Source organism: Homo sapiens, chromosome 3 (genome assembly GCF_000001405.40).
Source record: "Homo sapiens chromosome 3, GRCh38.p14 Primary Assembly".
Lineage (NCBI taxonomy): Eukaryota > Metazoa > Chordata > Mammalia > Primates > Hominidae > Homo > Homo sapiens.
The window spans coordinates 95,339,671-95,350,053 of record NC_000003.12 but is presented as its reverse complement, the minus strand read 5'-3'; the positions used below and the strand labels follow the sequence as shown (position 1 = coordinate 95,350,053).

At 34.9% G+C, this 10,383-nt stretch overlaps 1 annotated feature.

The window, feature by feature from the left end:
- Window positions 456-1,270: an enhancer, noted in NCBI's record as "OCT4-NANOG hESC enhancer chr3:95067628-95068442 (GRCh37/hg19 assembly coordinates)". NCBI's record gives its function as "activates a minimal SCP1, AML or CMV promoter by ChIP-STARR-seq in primed H9 embryonic stem cells {active_cell/tissue: H9 hESC(primed)}" and the evidence as "EXISTENCE:reporter gene assay evidence [ECO:0000049][PMID:30033119]".

Here is a 10,383-nt window from a genome sequence, read left to right as displayed (position 1 = left end):
CTGACCATCAACTGATGGTCGTCTGACATTCCAGGTGGTGCGGGAAGCCCTCTCCTGCCCTGCTCATGCCTTACTAGCTACCTACTGTAACACACCTTGTCTTTAAGTAAATGTGTCTGTTGTCCCTATGCTTTGTAAAACTTACCCTCACAAACCCAAAGTTGACTTGTAAAGCCTATATCTATCTTTGTCTTCTTGTTTTCTTTAGAATTTAGATCAAAACTTATCTATTAGGGAGGCTATTTCCACAGATTAGTGTGGTCCCATAAAATTTATTTTCACTCCATTAATTAAGGTTAGAGAGCAGCACTGTGTGGTGTTTAAGAACTGGTTTTGAATCAAATTGCTTGTTTGAATCTTGACTCTACTACTTACCATCAGTACCAAAGGCTTGGAATAATTTATGACACATAATAAGTGTTCATTATATGTGTGTTTGAATGATGATTTTTAACACCATGCATAGAAATTTGAACTATTGTAACTGCCTAAGGGGTTCTTCCTGCCCACTGCATAAAAAGAGACCACAGTATCTTAGTAAAGAAAGAGTTTTATAGACACTAGGCCAGCCACGCCATATGGGAGATTGGCGTTGGTACTCAAATCATCTCATGCAAAGCTTATAGGTTAGAGGATTTTTAAAGGCAGTTTGGGGGAAGGGGTGGCAGTGGCTAGCTGTTTGTTGCTGATTGGTTGGGTTGGAGATACAATCATAGGAGACGGGAGCTGTCTTCCTGTGAGCTGAATCTCTTCTGGGTGGGGACATAGGAGCTAAGTTGGAGGGTCCAGGTGGGGCCTTCAAGGTGGAGCCATGGCAGACATGCAAAAACCTGAAAAGATTTCCCAGGAGTAATTGGGGAAGCAGCATATCTTATAACCTTCCAGAATAATGCCTGACAATTGTCTATGTCTGCGCCTTAGCAGCACTCCGTTTCCTCTCCTCTCCCCAGCCTGATGCCCTCCTATTAGCTTTACAAAAGCTATTGAGTTTTGGGCAAGGCCTATTATCATTTAAACTATAGCCTGAATGACTTCCAAAGTTAGCTTGGCCCAGTAGCCTAGGATTAATTAAGGGAAAGGCAAAATGGTGGTTGTGCTAGCTTAGCTTACTAATATAATTTTTCTCACTAATATATTTTTTGCAAAGTCGATTTCACTGTAAACAAGGCCTACACAGGTCTATTGGTTTCTAGTCAAATACAGTATTAAGAAGTTACTGTTAATCAAGCACTGTGTCTATTACTAGAGAAAAAACACATCACCACCACCACCACCACCCCCACCAAGTCCCCTGGCACTGACTTTTTGTTTTTTGTTTACATGTAGGTAGGAAATTTTGTTTTGTTTTGTTTTTTTGACAGTGTCTAACTCTTGTCTCCCAGGCTGGAGTGCAGTGGCATAATCTCCGCTCACTGCAACCTCCGTCTCTCACGTTCAAGCGATTCTCCTGCCTCAGCCTCCCAAGTAGCTGGGATTACAGGTGCCTGCCACCACGCCCAGCTAAATTTTGTATTTTTTCAAGTAGAGACAGGGTTTTACCATGTTGGCCAGGCTGGTCTGAAATTCCTGATCTCAAGTTGTAGCAGAACGAGCCGCAGACAAAACCCCTCAGACACTGAGTTAAAGAAGGAAGGGCTTTATTCGGCCAGGTGCATCAGCAAGACTCACATCTCAAAAACCGAGCTCCCCAAGTGAGCAATTCCTGTCCCTGTTAAGAGCTTACAATTCTAAGGGGGTCCACGTGAGAGGGTTGTGATCGATTGAGCAAGCAGGGGGTATGTGACTGGGGGTTTCATGCACCAGTAATCAGAACAGAACAGAACAGGACAGGGATTTTCACAGTGCTTTTCCATACAATGTCTGGAATCTACAGATAACATAACCGGTTAGGTCAGGGGTGGATCTTTAACTACCAGGCCTGGAATGCAGCACTGGGCTGTCTGACTACTGATTTCACTTCTGTCTTTTCTTTAACTCCTACCTTTTCTTTGAGGCAGAAATTGGGCGTAAGACAATATGAGGGGTGGTCTCCTCCCTTAAAGTGATCCATCTGCCTCAGCTTTCCAAATTGCTGGGATTACAGGCATGAGCCACTGCCCCCAGACTATTTTGTTTACTTCTAGTTTAAGTGGGTAAAATTTAAGACAACAGAAGAACACTGAAGAAATGTAGAATGGAAGGAAAGAATAGAGAAAGACAGTATAATGTATCAAATAATAACTGACACTAGCAAGACATTTCATAATATGAACTAACTCCTTATCTAATTCTTAGCTGGTATTTTCATCAACCTTGAAAATATGAAGATCAGTATTGACAGCAAAGATTCCATCTTTGATGTGTTATATTTTTGTCAATTATTAAACTTATTGACACTTGTATAATGTTATTAAAGAATTTGGTACTACGAATAAGTCTGCAATAATACTAATTGTGTGTGTGTGTGTGTGTGTGTGTATCAGTATATATCAGTTATTCTAAATAACTAGTGAGTGTTTTAAAAAGTGTTTTGGTTAAAAACTACTACCTACGTAAAAACAAATACATTTTTGTGTGATGATGTATGGACACATGTTCATTTATTAATGGGAAAAAGATTTGAGAAAAAGAGAGGATAAAATAGGTACTTCTGTCTACTTGAAGTGAGTAAAACTGATCAGTTAAACTTCAGCTTTATTAGAAAATTTAAGTTTAAAGTGATCAAATATGTGGAGGAAATTCAGCTAAAAATTTCTAAGTAGAAATATATAGTTTTACAAATTGCAACAAAATGAAGCAAAGAAAACTCAAAACATCAAAACATAGGAAAAGACATGTATAATCAAACTAATAAAATGATAGATTAACATGAAACAAAATTATAAAATATTTTCATTCACCTCAGAAATCACAATCACATGAATAGGTTAAAGCTACTAATGTAAAGGCACTGTCTTCCTATTGGAATTTCACTCCCTCTCCCTCTCCTCAAAGGCTCTATGTCTTTGACATGAGAGGGCTTTAAAACTAAATGATACAAAAAAACTTAAAAATAAATGTAGTAGAAAGATATACCAAATGTATATCACCAAAATTAAGGTTGATTTATTATTTGTATTGTAAAACAAATGAAGATTTCAAGGTGTATAGTATTCAAAGGACAAAAATTATATTTTATATTGATAAAAGCCCTTTTTCCACACAAGTCAATAACCTTATTCTTACAATTTTTGATACAAACACATTATTATTTGATCAGAATATTGTGTGCAGTTTGCACTTTTTGTATTGTCCGTTATCAGCCAAAGAAACAGCTATTTCTCCAATTATCAACTTTTTTATTATATTGGAGAGTGGTTTTTAAAACCAAGATCTGGGTGCTATGTGGACATGTAGTTCCTGGGAGGTCATTGTGTCTAGATTATTTCAGAACAAAAAATATACTGAAAATACTGAAATATATACTAAAAAATATGCTGAAATATATATTCAATATATATAAAATAAATATTTTAAACTATAATTACTATTGTATTCTATTCAAATTTAGCAATAAAGTTTTATTAATTTATTTTATTCAATACTTTTGTACTATAAAAACTACTTCCCAATATCCTCAATAAGTTTATTTATTTTCTTTTTCCCGTAATATACATTATCAGATAACTATCTTAAATAAATTTATAAATATTGAATATAGGTTAAAATAATATATTTAATGTAGTTTAAAAATTACAGTGTCAACATTAGTGCTAACAAAAAACCTACTGAATAAAGTTTAAAGTGCCTTTGTAGTTGATTTTTTTCTTAGATATATTCTGTTATATCCCTACACAGTCAGGAACTGTGTTAAAACTACTTGAAATATTTATTCTTTAGCACAATGTTACAAATTTAATAGAGTTAGATTTGTTTTTTAACATTTGTGCTTAATTTTACATTTATTTTTTATATTTTTTCATGGTACTTTTCTATCCTTGTACTGAATTTCATTTTCAGAAATATAAAGCATAAATATGGCTCAAAGTGAAAACTAAATTAATGTATTTTCTTTTCTGTATTATTTTATTTAAACATTCAGTAGTTAATATTTCAATCTTAAATTCCTTGAAATTAAACAAATATACCTGCATAATCTTCTTTAAGCTTTTTGCAGAAAAGATAGCATGCTGTATTAGCTGTCCCCCCACTTCTTATTTTTTCTCATAAGAGAGTGATGCTTTACTGTGTAGATAAGAGCACCTCAATTTCTACTCTGATGGCATAGTCTTTCTTTTATTCCTAACCTCTATACAAAAATAAGCAGAATTTTAAAGACATATGAATTTAGTAACTATCTAAAAAGCATATGCGGAAGTATGCAAAAAAGACTCACACATTTAATATGTGCCTCAACTAGTATATATGTATATGGAAAAATTTTATAAAGCATATGTGATGATTTCCAAAATCAGTTTTCAGTATTTTGTTTCTTAAGAAATAATAATAAAAGCATGGTTATAACAATAGTGTTTCTTCTGTCTGCTCTTGATCTTCAGTGTTTTGCTGTCTGGTGAAGAAAGCAAATATAATTCTTTTGGAATTGTTATTTCCAAGTTTTTGTTTATACCTTGGTACAAGCAGTTTTTTTTTTATTTCTTCTGTGTGCTCAAAGGGAATGACTGAAGACTGTCTTTTTATTCTTATATAATCAACCATTTTCTTTTCATAGTGACTATCATTCATCTGTTTCTACAGTGATCTCTGTATATATCAAGGAATTGGGATGAAAAACAGGAAAATCTCTTACCTGTGAGTTGTGACTAAAAATGTATCTTCATTTCCTTATCTGATATGGTTTGGCTCTGTGTCCCCACACAAATCTCATGTGGAATTATAATTCCCAGTGTTGAAGGAGGGGCCTGTTGGGAGGTGACTGAATCATGGGGGCTGACTTCCCCCTCTCTGTTCTTGGGTTAGTGATAGTGAGTGAGTTCCTAGGAGAGCTGGTTGTTTGAAAGTGTGGCACTTCCCCCATCACTCTCTCTCCTGTTCCACCATGGAAATTAGTGCCTTGCTTCCCCTTCACCTTCTGCCATGACTGTAAGTTTCCTGAGGCCTCCCCAGCCATATGGAACTGCGAGTCAATGAAACCTCTTTTCTTCATAAACTACCCAGTCTCAAGTAGTTCTTTATAGCAATGTAAGAATGAACCAATACACTATCACTTGCATAGTGCTAGATATGGTGGGATATTACAATAAATAATTATGTGGCTGTTTATAAGACTGTATTCAAGTGCCAGCTATTTCTTTTACTGGCTTTATTGTCTTGACCATTTTATTTCACTCCTCTAATCTTTGGCTTCATTGTCTACAAAATTTAGAAAGTATAATAATAAAATATTGGCCATATCATTGTATGTATATTTATATTATATATGCATGATATTATCTAATGATAAACCTGATAGGGTGAGTGTTATGATTAAATGAGATAATACATATTAATCATTTGGCACATGGTCTGACCTACAGAAAGTTGTCAGCTTTAGTACTTATTGTCATTGTTGTATTCATCACAATTAAAGCACTCTTTGAACTCTGTCAGCAAAAAGAGAAAGTAGTGGGATAACTTCATGTTAGCATTTAGATTTTAAATTTACATGACTACTGTGGAAATGTATATGACATAAATTTTACTGAAAAATAAGACAAATTTGCATATGTTGTTCAATATAAAAATTTTAAAAAGATATAAGTATCCATAAATAGCATCATTGGGCTTTTAATGGAAGAAATAATTGTGATATTCCTTATATTTATACTTTCATATATGTGTATTTTATTAAAATAATGTGCATAAATATTATAATAAAATATATTTTCCTCCACAATACAAACATGTTCTTAAAAACTTAAACTACTACTTATTAAGGACATAATACTAACCTACGCATTTTACATAATATCAGCTAAGCAACACTCCCCTACTTTGATCAGGCATCTAAAGCATTCTCAAATAAAATATCAAGGTTAACTGTGCTAGCCATCTAAACCATCTCCTCCTTGCTGAGTGCACAATATTTATCTTGACAGATGTCAGCTTCATAATGCTTGTGAGAAGTTTGTGCCTTTCATTACCTGGATTTACAATAGTGTGCAACAGAGGCTTAAATTGCACTATGAGCCATGACAGCTGGCAAAAACATGCCAGAAGGACAACTTTATCAAATCTAGGGAGCTCAAGAAAAGCTTAGTGTAGTCAATAAAAAATATAAAAGTTGAAGAGTATAGAGACAAAAGAATAAGAGAAAAAACAAAATGAATGAAAAAGGAGAGGAGGACTACTAAGCCTCCAAATGCCTGTGCTGGGATTGCATGTGGCTCCAGGCAGACGATTGGTCTTAGCTGCAGGTAAGCAAAAAATGATTCAGAGTATGTGCAGAGTATGCTACTATTAATGAAACGTCTTTCAGTGGATTTATATCTGTATTTTATCCTCCTACATATTTATAAATTGATTCTGATTGCTTGGCAGTTACAATGACCACAACCAGTGAGGATTTAACAAGCGGATTTTATTACTTGCAGCAAGTAAGGAGGAAACTGGGGGTGGATCTCAAAGCAATGCCACCTTGAACAAAGGTGAAAACAGGGCTTTTATTGGGCTGATAAGCTGAGTCATTATATGTAGAGGTGGAGTAAAGGCAGTGCAGGTGCAGTCATGGGTCATGCTTCTATATATGTTCCAGGTATAGAAAATGGCCATGAGCTTCTCCCTTGGCAGAGATTTTACTAAGATAAAGAGGAAAGTTTGCCAGAGTTTATCTACAACTCAGGCGTCTCTGGATCAATCGGTTTTTGTTTTTTCTGGGGCTGAGCTTCTTCTTAGAACTTTTTAAAACAATGAGAACTCAAGTTACAACATTTGCATGTGGTTACTTTTTCACAGTGCATACCAAAAACCCAAGGACCCCGGGTTACAATTTGATTTACTTGAATTTGATTGCCAATCTACCAATAAAAAAGGCTCCTAAACAAACACACAAGTAAGGTGGGAAAGCCAATGGGAGATTAAATTGAATAATTAGAGTAAATTCAACTAATAGCAAGTGGAAAGAGACAAAAAATAAAAAATAACAATCAATGAGACCAATATAAAAGAATGTCGGTAGAGTTAAATGTAATAATTTCAATAATTAGTTTACACTTAAATGAACTATACACTTCAAGAATGTGCAGACATTTGGTGTCTTGATCCAAAAGCAAGATGGATCTATATGCTGTTTATAATATTTGCAATTTAAATATATAAAAAAGATAGTGATAAAGTAAAACGATAAAAAAATCATAAGCCAGAAAACACAAATACAAAGTTAACAGGATTACATTATTGACAATATTGTTATCAGGTAAAAGAGACTTTGGGTTCAAAGGAGAAATAACACTCAGAGAAAAAAAAAGTCTCAATGAGGAAAGAGTAAACTCATGAAAAAGAATTGACAATCTTAAAAAGCCTAGTAATAAATCGTCAAGACAGATAAGTAAAAACTGAAAATCTAAATTTGAAATAGATAAAGCTGATGTTTTTACTGGAGAGACTTCCACATAAAAGTTTTATCCTTTTCTGAAATATGAAGATAATATCTTTCCTTTCTTGAAGAAAGATTGAGGGCTAATAGTGGAATGAATTCATTCATAGTCACAAAGGAGACTCCATCTATAAGTAATTGTTAGCAAAAGAAGACAAAAAGTAAATACACAGAATATCTGAAACAATTTTGAAACATATTAATTGCCATCTTTGAATACTCAAAAACAACACAATGCATTTGAAAATGTAACACCAAAGACAGTGCGCATAGTGGTAATGTCAGATAAATGAAAGAGATTAGAAAGTGCAGTAATAAACTCAGACTTATAGGCTGAGTTCTATAACCCAATTGTAAGTTAATAAATAAAGCAAATATAGTCGTATCAATAAATGGTGCTAAGACAACTTAATAGTTCTGTGGAAAAATAGTACTTTCTTCCAAAAAATTAGCAAATGATTTTGAATAGATTACTCACAAAACAATATTTATGAATGGCCAAGAGGCACATAAAAATACATCCTGCAACATTAGTCACCCAGAAAATGCAAATTAAAACTATAATTGGATAATACTACACAGTTACCAGATTTGCTAAAATCAAAACACTTGACAATACTCAATATTAGCAAGGATGTAGTGTTGGGATTCACTCAGGATGGTGGCAGAAATATTAAAGGGAAATATTAGGGGAAGTTATAGGGAATAGTCACAAAGCTTTTTGGAAGGCTGAAAGGTTACATAGCTTATAAAAATTGAACAGGCTGAAGGCAGCCGGTTCTTACCTTAAAGCATTGGGTCATAGGGTAAATTCTAGGGACAATAGAGGCTTCCTCAGTTCAGTCTGTTAACCCTACCTCCATTAACTAACCTTTAAGCTAGATGGCCCTCTGGGGGGTGGCGGGGAGGGTGACGGGGAGGTCGACCAGGGAAATTGCCCCCTAATGGTATTTACTTTAGACTGCAATACCTGAGCTTTAATCATTCCTAGAACTACTCTCTTAACCAGGTTAATCATCCACAAGTGTGTTTACTCAAAGCTTCTGTTGTTAATTGTACACTCAATAAATGCCTGGAGTGCGAGCTGCTCAGGACCGGCCTCAGTGACAGCCTCTCTTGGTGTGTAGGCGGTCAGACACTCCGCAGGACTGGGATAACAGAATATCTGTGTGTCAGTGTACGTTTTATTCATCCATCATTTAGGTCAGGGTCTGCAGGCAGACCCTCACAGCTGATGCCCTCTTGTGAGGAGCGGTACCTCAATGTAGAACAAATGGAATGCTCAGAGATATCTGATTGAAATGTGCAATGTTGTAGTCACCAACCAGTGAATAAAAAATCTGTGATATCTCATTCCACAGGATGTTACCCAACAATAAAAAGAAACAAAATATTTATACATTAAAAAACATGAATGAATATCAAACATATTATACAATATTTTTAAAAAATGAAGCACAAAAGAATAAGTGTTATGATAGGGTTTATATGCAAGTACAGAAAATGTAGAACTATAGGGACAGAAAGGAGGTCAGTGGTCCCCAGTGGTGGCAGAGGAGGCAAGAGGAAGGAAGAACTACAAAAAAAAGTCAAAGATACACTTTAATTGGCTGGAAATGTTTTATAGTATGAATAATGTGAAAGTGCTTCTATTTAATTGACAAAATTCATCAGAATGTACACATAAAAAGGTGAAATTTATTCTGGTTTAATAATGTGTCACTGACATCTGTACTTCAGCTAAAATAAGGTTCGTATAATACAGAATTGGAGACTACTCCTTCCTTTGCAAAAATTGAAGCTCGCTGTAGTCCACGCATATCCCTTCTGATCCCTTTACCGTTCCCATGCACATTGGGTACTGGTATGCTTCCACTCGTAAGAGTCAGTGACTGCACCTTACCAAAGTCTTGCTCTAAGTCGGCCTGATCACAATTTACCTGTTCTTCCATGGAGAGCCAGCATCTCCTTTCCCTTTTGTAACTCAGTGACTGACAGGTGTTTGTGGCATGTAAATACTCCCGCCCCTCTTTTCCTGTTAAAACAGCTCTGAGTTGGTATTTACCGTTAGCCCAGAAATCCCCTGCAAGATGGAACTAAAGTTGTCCTTTAAAGGGCTTTGCTTGTTTTAGCATCTTGCCCCCATATTCTTACTCTCCTGAATTTTTGCTAAAGACTTCTTAATAAATTACTTCCACATAAATGTTCATTCATGAATCTCCATTGGTATATTCCATCTAAGACAAAAAATGATATTCTTTGATGGTATTCATGAGTAACTCAATTAAATTTTAAAAATCCCAATGTGAATCAAATTAGGTTTTAAATACAAAGGAAATATGTTGGCAAAAATGCCTCTGGACTGCAAAGGCTCTCTCTATTTTTTAATTTCTCTTTGTTTCAACTTAAATTTTCTCCTGTTACATGAGTATATTCTATACAATATATAGAGAGAGGGAGTATCATTATCAGAGATAATCTGAGGCCAAGTCTGTCTGTTTACAGAATTTAATATGACAGCAAAGTGCTTAATTATTAATTAGGCTGCCATATATTAAGGGGAAAATAAATATTTTCCATGTTCATTTGTTTTAAATATTTTTTCCTCTTCCCAATATGACTCTGTGTAGAGAAATACATATTGAGATATACATGAGATATTGGCTTTATTGAATAACAAGAAATATAGCACACATATATGGCAAACTTTATTAAATATTTGTTGATTAATTTTTTTTTGATGGAGTCTTGCTCTTTTGCCCAGGCTGGAGTGCAGTGGCGTGAACTTGGCTCACTGCAAGCTCTGCCTCCCCGGTTCACACCATTCTCCT